The sequence below is a fragment of the Homo sapiens genome, chromosome 16 (genome assembly GCF_000001405.40).
Source record: "Homo sapiens chromosome 16, GRCh38.p14 Primary Assembly".
In the NCBI taxonomy this organism is placed as follows: domain Eukaryota; kingdom Metazoa; phylum Chordata; class Mammalia; order Primates; family Hominidae; genus Homo; species Homo sapiens.
This window is the reverse complement of record NC_000016.10, coordinates 86,412,332-86,439,190: the sequence shown is the minus strand read 5'-3', so window position 1 is coordinate 86,439,190 and position 26,859 is coordinate 86,412,332. Positions and strand designations below refer to the sequence as shown.

General features: G+C 47.7%; 1 pseudogene, besides 4 other annotated features; it reads left to right on the top strand.

The window, feature by feature from the left end:
* On the top strand, window positions 3,693-4,347 carry LOC401864 (chloride intracellular channel 1 pseudogene; annotated as a pseudogene).
* Window positions 5,668-5,897: a silencer, noted in NCBI's record as "fragment chr16:86466900-86467129 (GRCh37/hg19 assembly coordinates)". NCBI's record gives its function as "represses an EF-1alpha promoter that drives an FKBP-Casp9 reporter gene in an ReSE screen in phorbol 12-myristate 13-acetate-treated (for megakaryocytic differentiation) K562 erythroleukemia cells {active_cell/tissue: K562(+PMA)}" and the evidence as "EXISTENCE:reporter gene assay evidence [ECO:0000049][PMID:32094911]".
* Window positions 13,994-14,288: an enhancer, noted in NCBI's record as "tiled region #1422; HepG2 Activating non-DNase unmatched - State 20:ReprD". NCBI's record gives its function as "activates a minimal TATA promoter and a strong SV40 promoter by Sharpr-MPRA in HepG2 cells {active_cell/tissue: HepG2}" and the evidence as "EXISTENCE:reporter gene assay evidence [ECO:0000049][PMID:27701403]".
* Window positions 13,994-14,601: a biological region, named in NCBI's record as "Sharpr-MPRA regulatory region 1422".
* Window positions 14,101-14,601: an enhancer, noted in NCBI's record as "H3K4me1 hESC enhancer chr16:86458196-86458696 (GRCh37/hg19 assembly coordinates)". NCBI's record gives its function as "activates a minimal SCP1, AML or CMV promoter by ChIP-STARR-seq in naive H9 embryonic stem cells {active_cell/tissue: H9 hESC(naive)}" and the evidence as "EXISTENCE:reporter gene assay evidence [ECO:0000049][PMID:30033119]".

Genomic DNA, 26,859 nt, shown 5'->3' with positions numbered 1-26,859 from the left:
AAGGTAAAGATCACATTTTGCATTTTTTCGAATTAATCATAGCTGTCTGTGGAAGTTTATTCTTTCATGTGCATTTTAGAAAATCAGCGTGTCAAATCCTTCAAGGGTTCTGTTTGGATTTGGCAGCTGCTTCATGGGATGCGAAGGTTAAACTCAAAGGGAAATGGCAGCTCCATGCATTTCAGTCATCCCACCCACAAACCGGATTGCTTTTCATTGGTTCAGGTTTCTTTCACATCTTAATAACGTTTTCCATTTCTCCATGAAAGTTCTGCACTTTCCTTGTGAGAGTAATGCCCAGATGCTTTGTAAGTACTGTAATGCTGTGTTATTCTGTACCATGCTTTAATGAGTCTTCCAGTTGCTTTGTGCTTGCATTGGGCATGGCTGTTCACCTGTGTGTGTTGGGCTCATACACAGCAGCCTCACTGCACTTTGCCTTGTCTTTGCTCACCCTTTCAAAACATTTGTGTGCCTGCACAGACATGAAAAGATGTTAAAGGTCGTGTAAAATGTTAAGATGCTCACTCACTCTTTCCCCCTGTGTGTTGTCCCTGCCCCCATCCCATGCGCAGCTCCTTTGAATAGGGATCTGGCTCTGCTCCCCTGGGCCCCAGGGATGCTCAGGTACTGCTGAAGCATCCCTCAACCACTGGCGACCACAGTCAGAGAAGAGCTATCCCACCTCTCCCATCCATCAGCTGGGATGATTCTGAGGCATAGCCTCCTATAGTTTTCCAGCAGGATACAGCTCCAGGTACCCACGGCACGCAGTCTCTCGATAGTGAACCTTTTATTGACAGCCTTCCCTTTTTTGCCTCACTTCTTCACTCCCCTGTAAGTATTTCCTGGGATCATTTTCCAAACACCCTGCTTGCATTGCTTGCCTCAGGGTCTACTTTCTTTTCTTTTTTATTTTTTGAGATAGAATTTCGCTCCTGTTGCCAGGCTGGAGTGCAATGGCACGATCTCAGCTCACCACAACCTCCACCTCCTTGTTACAAGTGATTCTCCTGCCTCAGCCTCCTGAGTAGCTGGGATTACAGGCATGCACCACCACACCTGGCTAGTTTTGTATTTTTAGTAGAGGCAGAGTTTCTCCATGTTGGTCAGGCAGGTCTCAAACTCCCGACCTCAGGAGATCCACCCGCCTTGGCCTCCCAAAGTGCTGGGATTACAGACGTGAGCCACAGCATCCAGCCAAGGTCTCCTTTTAATGGAGCCTGGACAAGACAACAGCTGAATCATTATCTCTGTGAAAGCTTCATTGGCCAATGAGCTTGAGTTGGGGTAGGGGAGGCAGTCGGTGTCTTCCTGCTCAATATCATAGACTCAGTGCTTAGCATAGTGCTTGGCCCACATTTAACACCTTGATAATGATGTAGTCAACAAATAAATAGGTAGATGGTTGGGTGGGTGGAAGGAATGAAGGGAGGAAAGGTGGATGAATGGATGGAGGATGATAGAAGAAAGGAAGGATGGATGAATAGAAGGATGGAAGGATGGATAAATGGACAGATGGATGGATGATGACAGAAAAAAAGGATAGATGGGTAAATGGATGGATGAATAAAACGATGGAAGGGTGGATAAATGGATGGATGGATGAATAGAAGGATGGAATGGTGGACGGATGGATGGAAGGATGGTGATAGAAGAAAGGATGGATGGATAAATGGATGGATGAATAAAAGGATGAAAGGATGGATAAATGGATGGATGGATTGACGGATAGATGGATGAATGGATAGATAGATGGATGGATGGATGGATAGCTGTGTGAGTAAAAGGAAGAATTAATGGAATGAAGATTGGATGGGTGGATGAATGGATGAACAGTTGCTGTTGAGGAGGTGGGAGGAACCTAAGACTCCTCAGATCATGCTCTATTCGGAGGCCTTCTGCACTTTCTGGTAGAATGTTTTGTATTTCTCCCACACTCCCCCATTCCTTACAGTCCACATCCTTCTCTGGAAAAGTGTCTCTGGTGCTTCAAAGATAATTGCTTTCACCCCACCCTTCCCAGGAATCACACAGATCATCCTCTATCTGGAGGACCAGACCTCCATCCTCCGGAGGACCTTGTTTTGGGAATGAGCAAAACAGAAAACCACAAAGCCAAGCTGGGGTGGATATTATGAGCTTTCAGTTTGGCTCAGAGAGAAGGCTGAAGCCATCCCTGCCATCTGGTGACTCAGATCCAAGTGCCTAAATGATACATAGTCCAGGGCATCCGAGCAGGGAGTGGGAGAGGACATCCACCTGGGCACTGCCGCAGGGGTTCTCCATCCTCTGCATCTGCCCCACGCCTGCCAGCTCAGACTCCAAATCCCTGTCCCAGGAAGCTCTGTTGCTTGCACCTTCACTGAAAGCTTAGGCTGAACTAGCAAAGCTCCCCAGGCGAGGTATCTCGATGGTTTACATTATCTGACTGATATTAGATCTTTTCCTGAAAGCCTGGTTTAATGAGGGGGGAGGGGAGTCAGTGTGTGGCCATGGATTTGTGAGGCAGGAAAGTGAGATAAATACTTTGGAGGGACAAAAAAAAAAAGAGAGAGAGAGACTAGGCAGACATAGGATGAGCTGGCAAATGTGGGTAGCCTTGGACTGACCACATAGTGAAATAAAATAACAGCTAATGTTTGAGGGCTTAACATGTGCTAGCTACACGGGGTAGTGCAAAAAACTTTGTTAGAAACTATCCAACAATTGTTTTGGGCAGGTGACATTACTAGCTTCATTTTACAAATGAGGTCCTAGAGACAGAGAGAGGCTAAGTCACTTGTTCCAAGTCACATAGCTGGTTAGCAGAGGGGCCACTTCCAACCCTGTCTATTCCCTGCATTGCAACACGATTGCTTCTCTGCCCAGTGTCTATCAGACTCAACACCAAGTTATTGGATACGACTGATTTATTTCTTTGATCATTGCTTCCTCTAAATGGATAATTTGCCTCCTTCTCTGGGAAAGACAGCAAAGGACTATGAAGACACTTGTCAGTCCATGATGGCTTAGGAGATTGGGGGTCTAGAGAACTGCCCATTGGCATGCTAGCAAACTGAGTGGTACCTCAACTGGTCATTGGTCTTCTATGGACTTTAGTCTCTTCATCTATAAAGTGGAGGTGGACATGTTTCATGATGGCAAGAGTTCTAGTTAGCTTAAAATTTTGAGAGATCCCCTCCGTTTGCTAATTATGTGAGCTTCTAAGTACTGTGATCTCTTCGAGTCTCAATCTCAGCACCAGGCCAGTTGCAATGATAATTGTACTTTCTTTGTGAAGATTAAATGGGCCCTGATGCAACCATGGCTGAAGAACAACCACAGGTGAAATTGCTCTTGAAGGCTGGCAGTGATGGAGCCAAGACTGGGAACTGCCCCTTCTTTTTTTTTTTTTTTTTTTAATTGAGACAAAATTTCACTTTTGTTGCCCAGGCTGGAGTGCAATGGCACGATCTCGGTTCACTGCAACCTCTGCCTCCCGGGTTCAAACGATTCTCCTGCCTCAGCGTCTCGAGTAGCTGGGATTACAGGCACGCACCACCACGCCCAGCTAATTTTGTATTTTTAGTAGAGACGGGGTTTCTCCATGTTGGCGAGGCTGGTCTCGAACTCCCGACCTCAGGTGATCCACCCACCTCGGCCTCCCAAAGTGCTGGGATTATAGGCGTGAGCCACCGCGCTTGGCCAGGAACTGCCCCTTCTTCTAGAGACTGTTCATGGTGCTCTGGCTCAAAGGAGTCACTTTCAACATCACCACCATTGACACCAAGAGGTAGACCGTGACAGTGCAGAAGCTGTGCCCAGAAGGGCAGCTCCTGTTCCTGCTGCGTGGCATGGAAGCACACATAGACACCCAAAAGATTGAGGAATTTCTGGAGGCAGTGCTGTTCCCCTGCAGGTACCCCAAGCTAAGAGCTCTAAATCCTGAGTCAAACACAGCTGGGCTGGATGTATTTGCCGACTTTTCTGCCTACATCAAGTTCAAATGCAGGACTCAACGATACTCTGGACAAGGGGCTCCTGAGAGCCCTGAAGGTTTTAGACAGTTACTCAACATCCCCCTTCCCAGAAGAAGTGGATGACAGCAGTGCTGAAGATGAGGGCATCTCTCAGAAGAGGTTTCTCGATGGCAACGAGCTCTCCCTGGTTGAGTGCAGCCTGTTGTCAAAGCTCTGCATAGTCCAGGTGGACTGTGAGAAGTACCAGGGCTTCCCCATCCCTGAGACCTTCCGGGGATGGCATCGGTGCTTGGGCAGTGCCTATGCCTGGGAAGAATTCACCCCTACCTGTCCACATGATGAGGAGATCAAACTGGTCTGCAAGCAAGTGGCCAGGACCCTCAAATAAGCCCCTCCTAGGACTCCCTCGGCCCCCTCCATGTTCCCCACAAAGGCCCGGAGGGTTTTCACACCGGCCCTGGGGGTTTCCACATTGCTACCCAATGGACACACTCCAAATGGCCAGTGGTCAGGGACTCCTGGTGCACTTGTGCAGGGGTGTCGAGGGGGAAGGGGGAATGAGGGAAAAGGATGGGGATCCTGGGTGAGATTCGTATTGTGGGGTGGGGCAGGTAGAGCAACATACTTCACTAATAAAGTACAGAATTTAAAAAAGATTAGGGCAGGTGCAGTGGCTCACACCTGTAATCCGAACATTTTGGGAGGCCGGGGCGGGCGGATCACCTGAGTTCAGGAGTTCAAAACCAGCCTACCCAACATGGTGAAACCCTGTCTCTACTAAAAATACAAAAAATTAGCTGGGTGTGGTGGGAGGCACCTGTAATCCCAGCTACTCTGGAGGCTGAGGCAGGAGAACCACTTGAACCCACAAGGTAGAGGTTGCAGTGAGCCGAGATCACATCATTGCACTCCAGCTTGGGCAACAGAGTGAGACTCTGTCTAAAAAACAAACAAACAAAAAGATTAAATGAGGTAGTGCATAGAAGTCCACTGAGGCAAAACCAGGCAAGTCACACTTATGAGGATGGTTTTCTCATTGCAAACCCTAATCCCCACGTGTCAGAGGCTCCATACGCAGCAAGTTTTTTCTTCATTACATAACAGTGCAGCACTGATTTTCCCAGCTGGTTGGTTCTCATGGGAGGCTCTCCTCCTCCCAGGTATCGGGAGACCTCTTAATTCAGCAGGTGGAGAGGATGGAGGATGGGAGCTGGCATGCTAGATTTTGATGGATCAGGCCCGGAAGTGGTCAATATCACTTTTGTCACTTGTCATTGGCCACAACTCAATCACTCATTTCCCCCTAACTGCAAGGGAGGTTGGGAAATGTGGATGGCTGTGTTCCTCGGAGGAAAAGGAAAATGATTTGGAGAACGAGTTGCTGGTCTCTGCCACAGAGCTCTATAAATGATAGATAGTGATGACCATGACATTGTTGTTGTTAATCATTGTGTGGGAAGAAAAGAGAGATCCCATGACTTATTGGGATCAAGAAAGGATCAATCGCCATTTCCATACATGTGCAAGTGTGTGTGTACAGAGTGCGTATATGAGTGCATGTTCCCCAGAAAACCGAAGTCAAGGCAAACCTAATGTTCTGCCATTGGATTAGGGGGTGGAATCCCAGGGAGGGTTCAATACTGAACTGGCCAGCACTTGGTATTAGGAGCAATTGATTGCACAGTTTTAGGGGACTCTTCCAAAAATCCATATAGACAACTGCTTCTCAGGACAACCATCCAAGGAGGAGAGAAGAGAACAATTTGCCCACTGGTTCATGCTGCCCATCGGCCAATTATCTACTCTATGATGCATGAAGTCTTTCCTGTTGGTGCGTGGCTGGGCACTGGGCAGGTGCCACAGCATCCACGGCCTCCAAGGTGACAGGAAGTCCCCAGAGTGGGAGGAGGACTATGTCCAGCGTGGACACAGTAAGGTGCTTTGCAGAATGTGTTTGGAACCATGAAGGTCTGGCTGCCATAGTGGTGCCTAGAGTAAGGAGCCAAAGACCGCAGGTGAGACTGCGGTGATCTAGTAGTAGAGACGAGGTATCTGATACAGGTGTCACCTTTGCCAAGCTCACGGAAACCAGAACTGAAGAAACCCCTTGGCTCCAGGGCACTGGGTCAGCACACGGCCACATCCCTGCCTGCAGCTGAGCATGATTTCTGCCTTGCACTGTATCTGACCCTTGAGAGTTTGAGTGTTTGCTGGAAATAAAAAGCCCATGCACACATGATCCTCTGGGGCCGAGGCCCTGTCATCCTTCACGAAAATGAGCCCTTCAACAAATGTAAATACCCTCCGTGTTCTCCCGGAGGCCGGTCCTAACAAGGCCTCGCCAGGGCGCCTCGTAATCCCTGGGATTGCTGGAGCTTTTAGGTTTAACAGAGCAATTTGTAAGGCCGCCTGTCTTGCAGCCAGCTCTGCGGCGACTTGCCTGCGGTATGTTCCCTGGCGTCTCCTAGAAACTGTGGGCTGGACTCACGCAGGGCAGGCGAAGGGCTCTGCCTACCCCAAACTTGGAGCCCTCTGGATCCCAGAGTCTCACAGTGCTCCCGGGAAATTTCATAAGGGCAAGCATGATGCATTAGGCTTGGGGGAAGGGAATGAGATCCAAAGCCTGGAAGATGTGAGAGGTAGCAGACACCGTCTAGGAAAGCTGGGGTGATTTCCGAGCTTTCCGTGCAGGGTGCACGGTGTGGCGGAGGCAGAGCTCCAAGAGCTAAAATTCCCAGCTCGGCTTGGGGCCCCGGGTTGTGCCTAACTAGCTGAGGACCCTCAGGCAAGCTGACACCACTCCCTTCAATGGCTTCCAAAACCCTGGCCAAGGTTCTAAGGTGTGCACAGTGGGCACTGCTCCCCTCCCCACCCCGTCTCCCACCTCTGACCCTCACCCTTCCCAGCGACAGGGTTCTGTATTCCGTGCGGCCTGCCACGGGCCCGCCTCGGGGGTGCCCTGCAGAGCAGCCCGAGCACCTCCCTATGCACGTAGCTCCCTCCCTCGCGGCAACAGGCCGACTTCATCTCCCACCCCGGGAAGCCAGGCAGGACCCGAGACTGAGCTCTGGCCAGCGGACATGGGAAAGAGTGCCAGCTGCCCCTGAAACTTCTCCTGCCATTTGCTATGATTTCTTTTTTCTGTCTACTGGCCGGACACTGAGCTCCAGGGAAAGAAACTCCAAGACCTAGAAAACGGGTCCTGGACTCTCGAATGGCTCCATGGAGCCAACCACCCACCCTACTGCCCCACATTCTGTGCCGAGAGAGGAGCATGAGTCAGGTGAAGCTCCTGAAACCTGGGGTTGCTTGTTACAGCAGTGAGCCCCTGCGCATATATACATACTCAAGACACCAACTTAACCTCTTTGAGCCCATTTGCTTCATGGTGAAAACAGTAACAGTGCGTCTGCCCTGCTCAGCCAGCAGGGCTGCTGTGGGCTCAAGTGAGGTAGCTGCCACTCTGGTGCTGAGTCAGACCGGCCCCGGGGCTGCATCCCGTCAGCCCACCTCCAAGGCTGTTCAGCAGGGCCACCGTCAAGATTCAATGAGGTCGCGTGGAGAACGTGTCTCGATAGTGCCCAGGCCTGCAGTGGGCCCTGCGCCCATGCCCCTGGCCTTCCTTGGGGCTGGCTACCCTTCACTGTGCTCCCCAGCTCCAGTGCCAGTCTTCTCTGTCCACCTCTGAACTCTGGAGACGACAGAGCCTGAACCCCCTCATCCTCTCCCTGGCTTCCGGTTGGGTTCAGCTGCGGGAGGTGCCTTCAGCAGAGTGGTGTGCAGGACGAGAGATGTCAGGCCATTTCTTCCTCCTGCCGGTGGCCCTGTCCTTCTCTCACCACAGCTCCTCTCTTCCGTATCTCTGATGCTTCCAAGCTCCCCTTGCCCTCTCTAGTCTCAGGCTGGCCATGGCATCCCGCCGTGGCTTGTCTCTGGCTGTCTTCACCTGTGTGAGCCTCTGTAACTGGTCCCTTCATTAAAGGCTTGTCTCTGGCTGTCTTCACCTGTGTGAGCCTCTGTAACTGGTCCCTTCATTAAAGGCTTGTCTCTGGCTGTCTTCACCTGTGTGAGCCTCTGTAACTGGTCCCTTCATTAAAGGCTCTCCAGATCGCCAGCCAAGGGTGCTGCCTCTTTCCTTCCAGGACCCTGACTGCTGCCCCTGCTCAGTATCACAGAGGGCTCTTGGTTGGAGCAACAGACACTCATTCTGCCTTACTCAGCAGCAAAGGAATTTGGAAAGGGATACTGAAAAGCTTACAGAATTTCCAGAAGGCTTTAAGATGTGGAAATGAGAGCCTGGGAAATGAAAGCATAGAATCAGGCTGGTGGGGTGCAGCTTCCACCACCAGAGCTGGGCTCGGAGGCCACAGCATGAGCCCCAGCCCCCTGCGCTGCGGCCATTGGCACCCCAGGGAGCGGGTGCAGTGAAGCTGTCAGGAGCACCATCTCCAGAAGTGGTTCTCCTCTCTTCCAGCTTCTTGGCCACACGAGTCCAGACTCCAATGTCCAAGTGCACGCCAGTGGTTGTCACTTGCTACGCCCCCACTGCTGGGGAGCTTGCACACTGAGCATTTGGCACCACAGACGTTTGGGCAGGGTGTTTTGGGTGCTGGGTGGATGCACTGGACACTTTCCAGCTGCTCCCTGTGTCTGCCTCTCCTTCCTTTTCCCTCTGTGCCCTCAGAGATTGTAACGTGGACTCCCCTGCATCGTATTAATCAGGCTCCTTTGCCCTGGCATCTTGTTGAGTTCAGCCAAATCAAGATACAGCAAGAGATGCGAGGGAGGTGGGGAGAGAAGCTGGGTAGTCACTGGCCTTGCTACAGACTTGTACATAGGCTGGCTGTGTCCCTCTGAAGAAGGCCACAGCTCCTGTTGGACAGGCCCCTCTCCACTGGGCCTCTTTGTGTCTGGGGTTCCAGTAACTCCCCCACCAACCCCTCAGTCATGGTGGTGGTCTCTGCTCCCTGCTGTTTATGTTTTGCAGGGGGAGGAGAGCTGTACCACCCTTGTTGCTGTCTTCTGTAAATTGTCCTCATATGAAACTCTTTCCAAGTCACCATGTAAGAGGGACATCGATTTCTTGCTGGCGTCTTGATTGTTAGGGCAGGCAAAAATAAACAGGTAAGCAGGAAGGCCACAGTTGACCACACTCACGGCAGCTCTCCTGGGCTGCCGAGCACCTCCCTATGCACGTACCTATGCACCTCCCTTTGTTGTGGGCTGCTTGTGACCCCCAGAAGGGTAGATCCTAGTCGTAACCCTCTGTAGCTGGGGATGTGACCTTACTTTCCGAAAAGGTGTCATCGAGCAGCTGTCATCAAGTTAAGATGAGTTTGGACAGACACTCAGGGAGTAGGCTTGGGAAACAATGGAGACAGAGAGCAGAACGATGCGTCTACGAGCCAGAGAACACTAGGAACCGCTGGCAGCAACAGAAGCAGGGAGGGAGGAAGGAACGGATTCTCCTCCTGACTTCCCAAGAAGGGACCAGCTTTGCGGACTCCTTGATTTTGGACTTTTGGCCTCCAGAACCACGAGAGTCTCCAGAGAGACATACAGACGCCCGCTGTCCCCACGTGAGTTAGATGAGCTCTTAGAGCTCTGCAACTGTGTCACACGGGGCCCAAGTGTGGGCTCCCGAGACGGCCTGATTGGGATCCCAGCTCCACCTTCTACTGGCTGTGACCTTGGCAGATTCACCTCCGGGAGCCTCGGTAACAATGCTTAACTCTGCGTTTGCTTCGAGAACTCCAAGACTCCAAGTGTAAAGAGGCTTACGACAGTGCCTGCCACAGTGCAGACGCTCCAGAAAAGCTCCCAGAAGAACAGATTGGCTGGCAAGCCGGTCAGTTCGATCCAGGCTAGGGTGACAGGGCAGGACCATCTGACCCAGCTCAGGGATAAGGGCAGACTCTTGGCAGACTCCAGGCCTGAAATGGGGCTTGGCGTGGGAACAGGATGACAGCTGGCATCTGCTCCGAAACAAGCTCCGAGATGAAGAGAAGGGGAGAGCCCAGGGAGCCTGGCAGAGTGGAGGGACATGTGCTGTCCCTCTCCCCAGGGAGTGGCTCTGTGATCTTGAAGTAGTCACTTAACTGTCCTGGGCTGCAGTTGCTTCCACAAAATGCAGCTGTTGGGAGCATGTCAGCCTGCAGCAGACAGCCGACTGAAGTGGTCTCTTAAGACCCTGCTGTGGCAGTGCCTGTTCACTATTCCCAGAAACCATTCTCCACCTCTCCTTAGGTTCAGCTGGGCACATGGCTACCTGGAAAGGACTCATTTCCCAGCCTTCCTTGCAGCTATGTGCAACCATGTGACTAAGTTCTGGCCAATGAGCAGTAAGAGGAAGTGTCATGTGATACCTCCAGGACGTCTCCTTAAATTAAAAGGGAAGGGGATGAAGCCAAGAGGAGCCTAAGGAGGCATGACAACTAAATTCACCTGAGATCCTGGAACAGGAAACACACATTAGGCAAAAACTAGGGAAGCCTAGAGAAAGCGTAGACTTTAGTTAATGATAATGTGTCAGTATTTGTTCACTAATTATACCAAATGCACCATACTAACATAAGATGTTAATAATGGGCTGGGCACAGTAGCTCACGCCTGTAGTCCCAGCACTTTGGGAGGCTGAGGCAGGAGGATCACTTGAGGCCAGGAGTTCAAGACCAGCCTGGCCAAAGTGGTGAAGCCCTGTAGCTACTAAAAATGCAGAAAAAAAATTAGCCGGGCATGGTGGCATGCACCTGTAGTCCCAGCTACTTCAGAGGCTGAGGCAGGAGAATTGTTTGACCCTGGAAGGCGGAGGTTGCAGTGAGTTGACACGGCACCACTCCACTCCAACCTGGGTGACAGGGCAAGACTCTGTCTCAACAAAACAAAACAACAAAAAATATGCTAATAATGGGGGCAATTGCATATGGGGTATACACTCTGGGAACTCTGTGCTATATTCACAATTTTTTGGCAAATCTGAAACTGTTCTAAAAAATAGTCTTTTTTCTTTTTCTTAAAGGGAAGGACATGGCCTTTCTTCTTCCATCTTGCTGTCAGAAAGTTGGACATGTTGGCTGGAGCTCAGGCAGCCACCTGGGACCATAAAATGAAGGGCCACATTGCAGGGAGGCAGGAAGAGACTAGACCCCTGTCAACTTCATAGAAGCACCGTCCCAGCTCCAAGGCCCACTCTTTTATGCTGGAGGAGCAAATCTTGTCTGTTTAAGCCACGTTTCATTGCTTTTCGGGTTTTTTTCTTCCCATGAAGTGGAACCTAATCGCTATGGAGACGTCTTCTCTCTCTTTAAATGACTTCAGACCTCAGCGAGAGTCCATTTGAGATATTTTCCCAACCACGTGATCTTAGGAAACAAGTAGCATTTCTCTCCCTGCATCCTCCCAAAGTTCTGGTGTTAAGTGTTTGGTGGCGGGTCCTCCAGACGCTGATTCATGGCTCCCAACAAGAATGTTCCATTCCAACTCCTTAAAAAACAGCCAGACCAACTCGATGGCATTTTGGTACTTTTCCACTTTGCTGGAGTTACGATTTATGCCTAATTCATCAAGATAAGGCAAAGAACAACATTGGTGTTTGTGGCTGTTGGGTCTGTACATGAGGCTGCTATGGTTTCAGCAGCACACGGTAGAATTAAATACATATAATGAGTATAATGTGATTTACTCTCGTCCTGCTGTCCTGACGTTTAAACAGATGTCAGAGGAATAGAAGGCATGGTGGGAGGAACACATTAGTGTAAATTATTGCATCTGAAAAGAGGGAGTATCGTAAAAATGTTAAAAGAGAAAGTAAGTATTTATGACTTGAGTTGCTGGTATTTGTATCTTCCATTTGCCTCTTTGTGTGCAGTCATTAGAACCTCTTCCATCGGGAAAACTGCTTGTTCTAACAGGCTTGTGTGGGACTGATGAGATTCCAGGCCTGACAACCCCACACACTCACCTTGGGAAGGTCTTCTCTACTGTAGACAGCAAGAAGGCAAGGGCAGGCCCTAGAAATAAGGACCATTATGGGGGGACCTGCAGCACCCTGTTCCCTGCGCATGCAGGCACCACCACATCTATGGTACAGATAGAGAAACTGAGGCCCAAAGAAGCAGGGTGGGGTGAGATTGCAACCAGGAATGGTGGAGTCAGCCCTGCAGCTCCACCTCGGCCTCCTCAGCTCCCCTTCCGTCTCCCTTTCTGTCTGGCATCACTGTCTCTGCAAAGCCTAGTCATAAGACTAAATCCCACCTGCCTGCCCTTTTGGGAAATCCGAATTGTAGCTGAGGACCAGAGACCGTGGAAGAGAGGACAGGGGAGTAGGGGTGAGGGGCCTCACGCTGATCGCCTGGGCTGCTTGGGACAATGCAGAGTCTCATGCTGCACCCCAGACACTTAAGATCAGCACATCTGTGAGGCTGGGGCCCAGGACTCTGTGGTTTTTAGTGGCGTGATCTCGGCTCACTGCAACCTTTGCCTCCCAGGTTCAAGTGATTCTCCTGCCTCAGCCTCCCAAGTAGCTGGGACTACAGGCACGTGCCACCACTCCCAAATAAAAATTCTTGTATTTTTAGTAGAGATGAAGTTTCACTATGTTGGCCAGCATGGTCTTGATCTCTTCACCTCATGATCCGCCCGCCTGGGCCTCCGAAAGTGCTGGGATTACAGGCCTGAGCCACCGTGCCCGGCCGACTCTGCGTTTTAATGTCTGTCCCAAGCAATGTCATGCAAGTGAAGGCTTCAGACTCCCTGGAGGAAAGATCACGGACACTGATGGGGCGACAGCCCTGGCTCCACCACTCACTGGCCATGTGACCTCGGGCAAATGGCTTTCAGTCCTCAGCTGTGAAATGGGGCGATTGCCTTTGCCATTATGCAGAGTTTACATAATAATACAACACCAGCTGCCTGGCCTGTGTTAGGCAGGTGGACACATCCCAGGGGGAGGCTGCCCTGGAAGGTGCTACTCTGACTCACTCAGGGGAGAGCCACACTTCCCAGGGTCCCTCTCCCCTGGCCTGGTTAGAGTTGAGCCACACATGAGCAGGCAGAGGCTGGTGGCTCAGTGCGGCTGGAAGACATTGTGCTGGAGGGAGTGTGGGGTATCAGGGTGTCAGGGTGGGTGGGGCTGGATCTCCAGGACCTTGGGTGCTAGCCAGGAGTGCAGATTTATTTCCAAGGCAGCTGGGGAGGAACACCAGTGGGGTTTAGGCAGGAAAGAGACACAATTGGGATTACGTTTTAGGAAGGTCGTGTGGCAGCAGAGCAGAAGACAGGTTTGGAGTTCTATGTGGTCCTTGGGGAGTGGTGATAATACTTGTTTTTGTTTTTGTTTCTTGTTTTTTGTATTAGACGGAGTCTCTCTCTGTTGCCCAGGCTGGAGTACAGTGGCTTGATCTCTTCTAACTACAACTTCCTCCTCCCAGGCTCAAGCGATTCTTCCCCATCAACCTCCCAAGTAGCTGGGATTACAGGCCTGCACCAGTACACCTGGCAATTTTTTTTTTTGTACTTTTAGTAGAGATGGAGTTTTGCTATGTTGGCGAGGCTGGTCTTGAACACCTGACCTCAGGCGATCCATCCACCTTGGCCTCCCAAAGTGCTAGGAACATCTGCTTTTTCTAGCCAGGAGTCTGGGTCCCCGGATGGGAGGATACACGATTCTCCCAGATGACTGTGTCCTGTGGCAGACTGGCCTGCTCACTGCCCTGGAGGTGTCCTGGGCACCCCTGCCTCTGGCTTTGTCCATGTGGTTCTTCCAGCCCTTCCTTCTCCTTCTCACCCACCTGGTCAGAAATCCCTCTTTGGGCCTCCCTGCTTGGCACACTCTCTTGGCCTCTGTCCTCTCCCAGCAAATGCAGGCTTTCCCTCTTCTTTGAGGGGAGATGTGATGACGGGGGATGGGTGGGTGCCAATTACAGCTGCACCGGGTGAATGAAGGGCTAGGGGTGGGTCAAGTTAGGTTGTATTTCCTGGGTCAGGAGCACTTAACGAGGTGACTTATGGGCATGGGCATGTGCTCGAGTGTGTGACTCAGATGTCAGCAGCTGCTTCCCCGGGCTATCAGGAATCCAGGTGACCTCGGGTGGAACTGCCCATCCCACTGTTAGGAAGGCCTGGGTGCCACCCACACTTTCATCCCATTCGTGAGGCAGGGGCTCCGTGGGTCTTCTCTACCCTGGGGCTGAATGCACCCTCCTGCTGCTGTTCATCCTGTCCACTGAGACAGGAAGCTCGGCCCTTTCGCTCCCATTGCAGGAATGTGGGCCTGGAGAGGGCGGGGACTTTGTTTTGCTCCTGGTTGTATCCTTGTGCCTAGGACAGGGCTTGGCACCAGGTAGGTGCCCAAGAAATATTTATAGAAGGAATGAATAAATAGCTCACCACAAAACACCACTCACAAGAGGCTTTTTGTGAACACAGTGCCTTGTGTGGAAGATTTGATGCTCGTGGGAGGGGTCTCCTGCCACACCATCGTCCCCTTCTGCCCTCTCTGCCTCCGCCAAAGCAGCTTAACCCCTGAAGAATGTGCAGGCTCAGACCTTGAGGGAGGTGCAGAGGAGTGAGGAATCTTCCTTCAATAGGCTCCTCCCATGTTTGGAGACAGGCCGGGCTGGAGCTGGAAGAAAAATAACCTTTCCACTTTCTGTCACATGTTCGTGTCTCAGAGCCTGCTCGAAGGGCAATGCCAAAGAAAATCTGGAAATGGGCCTTAGGCAATAGTGTCAGTGTGGAAATTAAATCGTCTAGAAGAGGTCAGCAAACGACAGGCCGACAGCCAAAGGGGCTGTTTTCATACAGTCCGAGAGCCAAAAGTGGGTTTTTGCATTTTAAAATGGTTGAACAAATCAAAAGAGGAATTCTGTTTCATGACATATGAAAATTATGTGAAATTCAAATTTCACTGCCTGTAAAGTTTTATGGGGACACAGCCATGCCCGTTTGTTTGTGGATTGCCTAAGGTGGCTTTTATGCTACAATGGCAGGGTTGAATCATGGCAGCAAAGACCGTACGGCCCACAAATTCTAAAATATTTACCATCTGGCCGTTTACAGAAAATGTTTACTGACCCTGGGCTGAAGTGACAACGGTGGAACCTAAAACTCACATGCGTTTGTGTTTGTCTAGGGGCTGGTGGTGCGTACGTTAGCCCCTCTCGGCCGCAGAACTAGGGTTAGTCCAGATATTCCCGAGTCAGGTGTGGCTGTGGCGCTGCGTGGTCGTTGCCGTACCAGGGCGTTCTCTAGGCGGCCTTTCTGAGCATCCTTGCAGAACACATCGATTATTTTAAGTCCTCCAAACACAGCAGCAAAATTCTTGCTTGTGAAGTACCCTTCTTGCCTTAAAGGTGTGTTGAAACCTGACTTCTGCTCACAAGCCTCAGTTCTGCTGCCTAAAATAATACTCCAGGATGCTGGCAAGGGAATAGTACACTTCCTGCGAGTGTTCAGTTCACATTCTCCCAAAAATAACACCGAGACTGTTAACACCTGCGCTTTCCAACGTTTCCTCGCTCACAACAGGGAGATTAATGGGTTCCATTCAGAACGGACCTTTCTGACCTCATCTATGAAGTCGGGGAACTCAGGAAATTGCTTGCTAATCCAAATCTTGATAGTCCCAAGATCCTGACATTCTTCCTGCCCCTCCCCCTTTGCAGCCTGAAAATCCCCCCATCTGAACTGAGTTACAGCTTTGAAAGTTTTGATAAGATACCGGGCAGATTATTCCCCATGGATACATTCTAATATTTATTGAATGGGGAGATCACAGATGATGTGGTTCGACAGGATGAAAAGTGGCCCTATTAACCCCAAAGAGCTGGTCCATTAACAGAGAGAAGAAAACAGGAGCAAGCGGGAAAAAGGAAGAAGGTTGCAGTCTGTAAGACTTCATCTCTTTGTCACGTCGCGAACATCTCAAGGAAAGGTAGAAACCGTGCATGGTGTTTGCACATGCGAGATGTCTTGGGGGACCAACAGGTTCCTAGTCAATGAAGGTTTGTTCAGACCCTTGGTCATGCGGTATAGCCAATCCTCTCAGTAACCTTCTACAGTAGGTATTTCAGCCTCATTTTACAGGTGAAGTAAAATAAGTTTACTCAGGGAGAGATGGGATTTGAACCCAGGTCTCTTGGCTTCCAGGCAAATAGACTATGAACTCCTCAAGGGAAGGGACCAGGTCTTATTTAGCTGTGCGTTCCCATTACAGAGCACAGCTCTGGCACACAATAGGTTCTCCTGAAATGCACATTGACAGTGAAATGGTCTGTGTTTTCCTGACCTCCCCACTCCCTGCCTGCAGTGATTTCTCCTTCCTCTCACCTGGGGGGATGTATGGTCTCTACAAGTCACCTGGAGCTTATAACATGCTTATCTTAAACGCTACTTAACTCATCTAGAGTACTTAAAATTTTTTCATTTCATATATGGTTAATATATTCAGGAGTTTAAAAGGGTTTATGGAGGAAAGAAATTCTCCTTCCAACTTCTGTCCCCAGAGTGGTAGTCATTAACGCTGTTCACTAAATAGGTTCCACTCTCTACCTTCTAGGCACCCAGAGATTTGCAGTTCCTGCTCCCCCTGTGGCTGAGGGGATCATGTGACAAGCGCTACCAGTGACTGTGAGCAGCAGTCACATATGTCCCTTGAAGGTTGGCACAGTTTATTGTCAGCTCAAGGAAGACCTCCAGACCTCCAGAGATCCTCCAGACCTCTTTACCCTCAGGTGTGGCAACCAGCAGGCTTGATTCTTGAGTGATATATGAGCAGAGAATGCCCATTATCCCATGAGCATTTGTATAGATGAAAAGTCAACCTCTGTTGTTTAAGCCACTTTGATTTTGGGGGTCGTTTGCTACTGTAGCATCACCTGGCGTCTCCTGACTAACCCACCCAGCCTCTTGGTTCCCCTTCTAGGAAGCCGCCACTCTTACCATTTTCTTGGGTATCCTTCCAGATGTAACAACAACCCACACAAGAAAATACAGTCACCTGGTACTTAACAGCAAGATATATTTTGAGAACTTCATTGTTAGGCAACTTCATCATTGTATGAACATCATAGAGGGTACTTACACAAACGTAGATTGTATGGCCTACGGCACACCTAGGCTACATGGTACAGCCTGCTTCTCCTAGGCCACAAACCTATACAGCATGCTACTATAATGAATGGTGTAGGCAATTGCAGAACAATAGTAAGTAATTTTCTATCTAAACATAACTAAACATGGAAAAGATAATGCATTGCACTACAAGGATAGGAATTTTTTAGCTCCTTTATAATTTTTTAGCTCCATTATAAACTTATGGGATCGCTGTCATATATGTGGTCTTTTTTTTTTTTTTTTTTTTTTTTTTGAGACAGTCTCACTCTGTCGCCCAGGCTGGAGTGCAGTGGCATGATCTCAGCTCACTGCAAGCTCTGCCTCCCGGGTTGACGCCATTCTCCCGCCTCAGCCTCCCAAGTAGCTGGGACTACAGATGACCACCACCACGTCCAGCTAATTTTTTGTATTTTTTAGTAGAGACAGGGTTTCACCATGTTAGCCAGGATGGTCTGGATTTCCTGACCTCATGATCCGCCCGCCTCGGCCCCCCAGAGTGCTGGGATTACAGGTGTGAGCCACCGTGCCCAGCCATATGTGGTCTGCTTTTATGTGGTGCATTACTGCATATAATATACATTACCTACTATTCTCTGTTTTGCTGTTTTTTTTTCACTTAATATATCTTGGACATACCTCCACATCAATGTATAAATATCTGCCTCATTTTTTGACAGTTGAATTATATTCCACTCAACGTATGCATCATCAATTATTTAAACAGCACCCAGTTGTCAGGCCTTCAGTTTTCACATTTTTGCTATTACAAATCGTGCTGCAATGAATAACCTTGTAAGTAGGTTGATATGATTTGGATCTGTGTCCCCACCCAAATCTCATGTCGAATTGTAATCCCCAGTGTTGGGGGTGGGGCCTAGTGGGAGGTGACTGGATCATGGGGTGGTGTCTCATGGTTTAATACCATCCCCCTTAGTGCTATCATCATGATCATGAGTGAATTCTCATGACATCTGGTTGTTAAAAAGTATGTGGCACCTCCCCTCTCTCTTCCTCCTACTCTGGCCATGTGATTTGCCTGCTTCCCTTCACCTTCTGCCATGATTGCAAGTTTCCTGAGGCCTCTCCAGAAGCAGAAGGCGCTATGCTTCCAGTACATCCTGCAGAACTGTAAGCCAATTAAACCTCTTTTCTTTATAAATTACCCAGTCTCAAGTATGTTTTTTTAATAGCACTGCAAGAATGGACTAATACATATGTGATTTTGGACTCCTGAAATTCTATCTTTAGGGCAAATTAAGTACTTTATCTTTTTAATTTGTAAAATGAGAATAATTGTGATAACCTACCTGGACAGGGTTGTTGTGCGGATTAACGGCTTAGTACAGGTAAAATCCTCTAGCATGTAGTAAATGCCTATAAATAAATAATAAATATTTATACTATATAAAGAAATAAATATTATTTTACAATTAACTTTGGGGTAAGTTAGTGATATTAAAATAGGCAAAACAAAATTCCCAAACAAAATCACATTTAGTGAAGAAAGGGGCAGAAAAAGTTAGTGTCATGTTATTATTAATATATATGTTATTGTCAAATTTGCCATATACAGAAGAATTTCCTTCATCTATTCATCCACTTCACCATTCTTTCATCTGACAGACTTTAGTTTTTGAGAACCTACTGTGTGTTATGCTAGAAACAGGAAGTACTAATGTGAATCATACAGAAAAGCATGTGTTATTATTATCTCCACTTTACCCAAAGGTCAGAAATAAAAATAATGTTATTTTGTGTCTCACCCAAGAGTTTCTTTAATGTTGCTACTTTTTGTAAAGTAGATCAAAATTTCAAGATGATAGTTAATCTTTAAGGGGAAGTCTCATGAGTTTGCTACCTTGAGGAACTTTAAGAAATAGGTTTTTAAAAATTTTCCAAATGAGGTTGACTTGTTGGCTTCCATTAAGCTTATGTGGTGATAAGGAGAGTCACTTTTCCCACAGAGTGAGTGTCCCAGCTCCCAATTCTGCTCTTCCATTCTTCCTGCAGTTTTGGAGGGCCAGGCACTGATGCTTTCTAGAATTCCCAGAAAAAGAATTACAGCAAACTGTTCCTGCAGTAAGCTTATTATGTCTTATGTCTCAGTATTACAAAATATATTGTGGTTATTTGCTGATATTAGGCAAATGTTGATTGATTTTTATCTCAGGTCTCCTGAAGAGAAATGTTTGGACTGGATGGGTGGTCAGACTGCTTGAGATCTCCATCACCACTGCTCACACTGACACATTATCATCACCACCATAAGTATCATCATAATCATCACCACCATTATCACTGCCAATCATCATCATCGCCACCATCACCATCGTCATCATCACCATCAGCATCAGCACCATCATCATCACCATCACCATTATCATCACAACCATCACCATCATCATCATCACCATCAGCACCATCATCATCACCATCACTATCATCACAATCACCATCACCAGCATCATCACCATCATTATCACCATCATCATCACCATCACCACCACCACCATCATCACCATCACCATCACCACCACCACCATCATCACCATCACCATCACCACCATCATCATCATCACCATCACCATCACCACCACCACCATCATCATCACCATCACCATCACCACCATCATCACCATCATCATCACCATCACCACCACCACCATCACCATCACCACCATCATCACCATCACCACCACCACCATCATCATCACCATCACCACCACCACCATCACCATCACCACCATCATCACCATCACCACCACCACCACCCCCATCATCATCACCATCACCATCACCACCATCATCATCATCACCATCACCATCACCAGCACCACCATCATCATCACCATCACCATCACCACCATCATCACCATCACCATCACCACCACCACCATCATCATCACCATCACCACAACCACCATCATCATCATCACCATCATCACTACCATCATCATCACCATCACCATTATTATCACCATCATCACTACCATTATCACCACCATCATCATCATCACCATCATCACTAACATTATCACCATCACCATTGTCATCATCACAGCTACCATTTATTTTGCACCTACTATATTCTAGATACTGTACATACTGTATTTCCCTTAATTTTCACAACAACTCTAAGAACTGAAGTCAGTTATTTTCATTTTACAAAGAATGAAAACAATACTCAGAGAATTTAATAAACTTGCCCAAGGGAAAACAAGCAGTGAGTGGCAGGTCCAAGAATCTAAGTCCAGGACAACGTGATACCAAGCCCAGCGCTCTTTATGCTACACTTTGCTGTTTCTTTAAGAATCAACTCTAAGATTAAAGCACATGCAGTATGACTGAGGAGGACAATAGGATGATGATGATGTGATGATGAAAGCTACCAAGTACTGACGATGGTGGTGGTAGTGGTGGTGAAGATGATGAGTGTTGCTAGACACCACTCCAAGTGCACTACATATACTAACTCATATTAATTTTCATAAATATAATCATTATATCCAGTTTTCCAAAGAGAAAACTGAGGCTCAGAGAGAGTAAGCTACTCAATGGCAGCAAAGCCTGCCAACTCTGGGACTCATGAGGTTAGGTGACCTTGTAACGTTCTGTCTCCGTCATAAGCAGCACGATGGGAACTTGTTGTGAGAATTATAAAAACTCCCCCAACAAAATCTCCTGCATGGTATTTGTTTAGTGAAATCCTTATTATTACTGCGGTTACTAATATTATTGGTGCTGGTTTTGCTACTATTATCATAATCATCATTATTGAGCTTCTACCCATTCTGTAAATAAATTGTGAGAGGTTAATTGAAGTTCTTAGGAAGGACCAAATTTGGTCAATAGAAGACTTAAAATGCTGCGCCACTCTCTGTGTCTTCCAGTTTTTTTTACACAGAGTGTCTTAAAGGGTAGTGTCAGTATTACTTGGTCTTTGTGGGACATTTGTGTGTGCTGAGTATCCTGAGTGCGTATTTTAACTGATCCCCAGAAGCACAGAAACGGAAGAAAGTTTAGCAGTGACCCACATTCTGTATGTTTGATCTTGCCAGGGTGAAAACCAGGGCACAGCAGAGCCTATGATCTCTGCCTCTTCAAAAACCACTGTGCATAGAGAAAAATAAAACACCTACTGGGTGCCCAGGTCTTGCCCAAAAGTGAAAGACAATTCCTTCATTCTCAAAGAGCTGATTATCTGATTATGTTGACTACTCCAAGCCAAAATGGATGAGACTATGTTTTTTTTTTAAAATTTTAACAGTCTTTTAAATATAATTACAGGCTAAAAAAATGAGAAAGACCATGGTTTAACAGTTTGTTTGGCTTTGAAAATTGAGTGAGGATGCAGACAGAAGTAGAAACATATTTAATGTCCCCACCCTCCCTGATGGAGGTTTCCTGCCAAATGGGAAATATGAAAAGGGGCAGCAGCCTCCACGTGGTGCACCTCTTGGACTCAGGTCAGGGGCTCCCCGTGTACTGAGTCCCCATGCTGTGCCTGGCTGCATGGGTGGACACCGTTCCAGTGCTCAAGGAGCTGTCTGCTTGGAGGGGCGAGGCAGGTGAGCACACGTGATCACAGTCTACCTGCAACAGGTGCTGGGAGGAGCCAGGCAAGGCTGCAAGACAGCAAGGAGCATGCTCAGCACCTGCTGGGCCTAGGCTTGATTTGGCGATGAGGCAGAGATGGGTCTGGGACATCTCCCACGTCTTAGGAGGTGACTAGAGAAAGTCACTGCTGCACTGCCCAGCCTCACTGTATCCATAATTCATAGTAACTGTGAGGCTTGACCAGCAGAGCTCTACACCCATTCCAGCCCTTTCCAGTCAGCTTCCTACTGTGAGGAGGGAAAAGCTAAAACCCGCACTTCCCAGGCTCCCTGGCTGTAGATCTCAGATGCTGGCAGACTCCCACTGATGCAATTTAGAAAAAGAAAGTGAGGCCGAGACCATATTCTGCCTCTTGGTTGTTCCTGCAGAAAAGCATGGTCTGTGACCCTGTCCCTGCCTCTGATGGTGCAAAAAGGCAGTTGTGACAGCAGCTTCTCATTCCTGTGTCCCGACCCCTGAGTAGCAGCTATGTGCTACTATGAGTAGCAGACATGTGCCTGGGAACTCAATAGCTCCCATGTCCACCCTCCAACGTCTGGCCCTCTGGACAGGGGCAACGGCAGCAGCTTCCCGGTGAATCGGTTCTGGATTCCAGCCTAGTGCTTATTCCTCTAGACTTGCAAAGCCTAATTTCTTATACCAAATTTCTTTCTGCTTAAAGTAGCGAGTGTGACTTCTCTTTTTTAAACAACTTTATTTATTGAGATATAATTAGCATACAATACAATTCATCCATTTAAAGTATACAACGTAGTAGATTTTAGTATATTCACAGAGGTGTGCAACCATCACCACAGTCAATTTTAGAATGCTTTCATCACCTTCAAAAGAAACCCTTTTGTCATCACTTTCTTTACCCGCTTCCCCTGGTCCTGGTCACACACTAATCTACTTTCTGTCTCTATGGATTTTTCTATTCTGGACATTTCATCTAAATGGGCTCATACAACGTGTGGCCTTTTGTGTCTGGCCTCTTTCACTCAGCGTCATGTCTTCAAGGTTCATTGATGGTGTAGCGTGGATCAGCACTTCATTTGTATGGCCAATTATAATAATATTCCATGGTATGGATGGACTACGCTTCATTTATCCATCATCAGTTGATGGACATTTGGGTTGTTTCCACCTCTTGGCTACTATGAATAACACCACTTGGATTGTTTGTGTACAAGTGTTTGTTGGATGTATGTTTCAATTTTCTTGGGTGTGTACTTGGGAGTGGGATTGCTGGGTCTTATGCTATCTCTCAGTTTAATTGTTTGAGGACTTCCCAGATGGTTTTCCAGCAGCTGTACCATTTTACATTCCCACCAGCAGTGTAGGAAGGTTCCGATTCCCCCACATCCTCCCCAAAACTTGTGATTATCAGACTTTTTAAAGCAACTTCTCTTTCCTGCCCTGCACCCTGAGTAAAACAGCATCTAATTGAGGATAGAGGTTTTTACTTGATAAGCCTTCTCCTCAATGTAGTAGCCCCACCGGTCTCCATTTCTATTAATATAAGGTGGGGGTGGTTTGCAAAGTATCTTCAGGCAGTGACTCCTTTCTTCCACCCAGTGTCTCCGAGCTGGTGGGGAGGTGCTCTTGTCCTCATTGCCTTGGCAGGACATGGAGGCTTATGTAGGTTCAGTGAGGGACCTGAGTCCCCCAGCAGGACAAGAAACCCAGTTTTTCTGACCCCAGTCTCCTCTCTGCTGGATCCCCACGGAGCCCGTTTGCAGCATTTCATCCAGTATACCAACTAGGTCTACCAGTTCTCTGTAATTATTCAGAGGAAATAACCCCCACCTAAGGCAGCCATTTGAACACACTGGCTTAGTTGAAGTTTTGAAATCGTTCTGAATGATTTGGTTGAGAAAGCTGAGCTGAGTTTCTCTGTAGTGATTTCCAGCAGCCAGGAAAAAGGTCATGCCACTGAGACCTACGAGCAGCGTCTATTGTTTAGTGTCTCGGGGCCCCAGCTCGTCACAGGAAATCCACAGCAAGGTGAAGGCTGTGCTTGCCAAGTCTTTGAAAGCAGTTCCTCCTGCCAGAAAAGCTCCTTATAGAAGCCACCGTCCACCCAGACTTCCCGAGAACTTTCTGCAGTACAAAAGAAATAAATTTTTTTTTGAACCAAACATGGCCCTGAGGTTGATATTTCACAGTGGAGGTGAAGACTCAAGTGATGCTCTGACTTTGAAAACAAACTGAGTAAACTGGAAATCACTCAAACATCTAGCCAAAGACCTTTGGTTAATAAAATACGGCCCGTTGATTAGAGGCACTCCAAACATCTATTGAAAAATCCTATTTTAGAAGAGTGATTGATGGGCTGGAAAAACACTTATGACATATTAGTGAGTGAGACAAGCAGATTACCATAGAGCAGTGGTTCTCAACTGAGGTGACTTCACCAACTGGGTGAAATGCCATGAAGGCACTTGGCAATGACTGGAGACACTTCAGCTTATAATTTGGGTGTGCTACTGGCAGGTAGGGGCAGAAGGAAGCTGCCAGATAGCCTACAGTGCATGGGAGAGCCCCTCATATCAGTATTTTTTTTTTTACTCATTTATTTTTTGAGATGGAGTCTCGCTCTGTCACCCAGGCTGGAGTGCAGTGGTGCGATCTCTACTCACTGCAAGCTCCGCCTCCTGGGTTCACACCATTCTCCTGCCTCAGCCTCACAAGTAGCTGGGACTACAGGCACCTGCCACCATGCCCGGCTAATTTTTTGTATATTTAGTAGAGACAGGGTTTCACCATGTTAGCCAGGAGGGTCTTGATCTCCTGACCTTGTGATCCACCTGCCTCAGCCTCCCAAAGTGCTGGGATTACAGGTGTGAGCCACCATGACCGGCCCTTTTTTTTTTGAGACAGAGTTTCACACTTGTTGCCCAGGCTGGAGTGCAATGGCACAGTATTGGCTCACTGCAACCATTACCTCCCAGGTTCAAGCGATCCTCCTGCCTCAGCCTCCCAAGTAGCTGGGATTACAGGTGCCTGCCACCACACCCAGCTGATTTTTGTATTTTTAGTAGAGATGGGGTTTCACCATGTTGGCCAAGATGGTCTGGAACTCCTGACCTCAGTTAATCCACCCACCTTGGCCTCCCAAAGTTGCTGAGATTACAGGTGTGAGCCACCATGCCTGGTCTCACATAAGTGATTATTTAGACCAAACTCCAATAGTGCCAAAGTAGAGAAACTCTGCTATATAATATAAATTATACACCTCCCCCTTTTTATTTTTTTGAGACAGGTCTTACTCTGTTGCCCAAGTTAGAGTGCAGTGACGTAATCACAGCTTACTATAGCCTCAAACTCTCAGCTCAGCCTCCAGAGTAGTTGGACTACAGGCATGCACCACCGCACCAAGATAATTTTTTGATTTTTCTGCAGAGATGGGGTCTCACTATGTTGCTGAGGCTGATCTCAAACTCCTGGGCTCAAGCAACCTTCCCGCCTTGGCCTCCCAAAGTGCTAGAATTACAGGCATGAGCCACTGTGCCTGACCTCATTTTGTTCAATGAAAATATTATACCTTATACATCATTAGAAGAATGTACACCAAAATAAACAGTTGTTGTCTTCTTGGATAAGGGAAATGGTAAATATGTGAATTTTTGGACTCTGCTGTAGTTTCCAGCCTGTTCAAACAAACAAACAAAATCCATGTATTTCTTTGCAATGAGTTAAAAAAGCAAAATGAAATTAAACAATGATAACAACAAAAACAGGAAGACTCCTGCGGACGAAGAGTTGTGTCTCCTCCTTCTCCTTTCTCAAGCTCAATCTGGCTGCTTCCAATCAGCCCGTGGTTTGTGCCCATCTTACAATCTCTCTGTGCCTCAGTGTCTCCGTCTGTAAAGCTGATTTCTCGTATTTGTATTTTGATTCTTCCCTCTTCTGATTCAATTCAGCAAACATCAATTATGCCTTTGAAATGCAGAAGACATACTCTAGGGCTCAGAGCTCTAGAGATGAAAGAGATCAATGCTCAGCCCTGTCCACAACCTGGAGAAGGGCTGCCATACGCACAGGAGAGCTGTGAGCGAGGGGTGAGCATGCCACATCTGTAAACTCAGTCTGAAAAGAGCTCATAATCACTGAGGATTGTTAGTGAGGATTAATGAACTAATCTAGGTAAACTTCTGCCACATAGTAGGCTAGCAACAAGTGGTATCTTATTTCTATTAAAGGTAATTGTAGAAAATTCCAAGATGGTTTTTATTTTTATCACTGTTAGTTTATGTACTCATCCATTCATTTGTTCAACAAATATTAATTTGAATGACTACTGTCAGATTAGCAGTGAGAAAAACTATATTTCTTCCTGTATTAGTTATCTGTTACTGTGTAATAAATTACTCCAAACTTAATGGCTTAAAACAGCAAACATTTATTATCTCATAGTTTCTGAAGGGCAGAAACTCAGAGCAGGGTGGCTCTGGCTCTGGGCATCTCATGAGGTTGCACTGCGAGTGTCAGCAGGAGCCGTAGTCTCATCTGAAGTCTTGACTGGGGCTTCAGGAATCACTCTGCAGGTGGTTCCTTCACAGAGCTGTGGGCTGGAGGCCTCAGTTCCTTGCTGCAATGGCCTCTCCATAGGGCTGCTTGAGTGTCCTCACAACATGGCAGCTGGATTCCCCTGAGTATGTGATCCAAGGTCATACATCAAGGTCACACAGTCACTTCTGTTGTTAGAAGTGAGTCACTAAGTCTGGCTCAAGGGGAGGAGCTTCCATCTCTTAAAAGGAGGAGTGTCAAATAATTTGTGGAAATGTTTTAAAACCACTGTTGTCCTTAGATAGGTGACAGTCTGGCCAGCATTTTTAAAACAACAGAAAACTTTGAAAATGCAGACAATCACAAAGAAAACAAATCACAAATGCCCCTCAGAATCCTACCACCAAAGATAATATATTCATGTGTTGATTTTTGGCTTCAATTTCCCCCAGCTTTATTGAAGAATAGTTTACATCCAGTAAAATCCAGTCACGTTAGGAATGTTTTAAAACCACTGTTGTCCTTAGACCCGGAGGGCCTAAGGAACCAAGTTATGAGGAGCAGAGCCACAGCTGGAACCCAGGATGCCTGGCCCTAGAGCCTGAGCCCTTTGCTACTCTTTGACATCAGAGTGCCCTGGAGCAAACCCTAGATCCGCTGTCAGGGAGTATGCCCA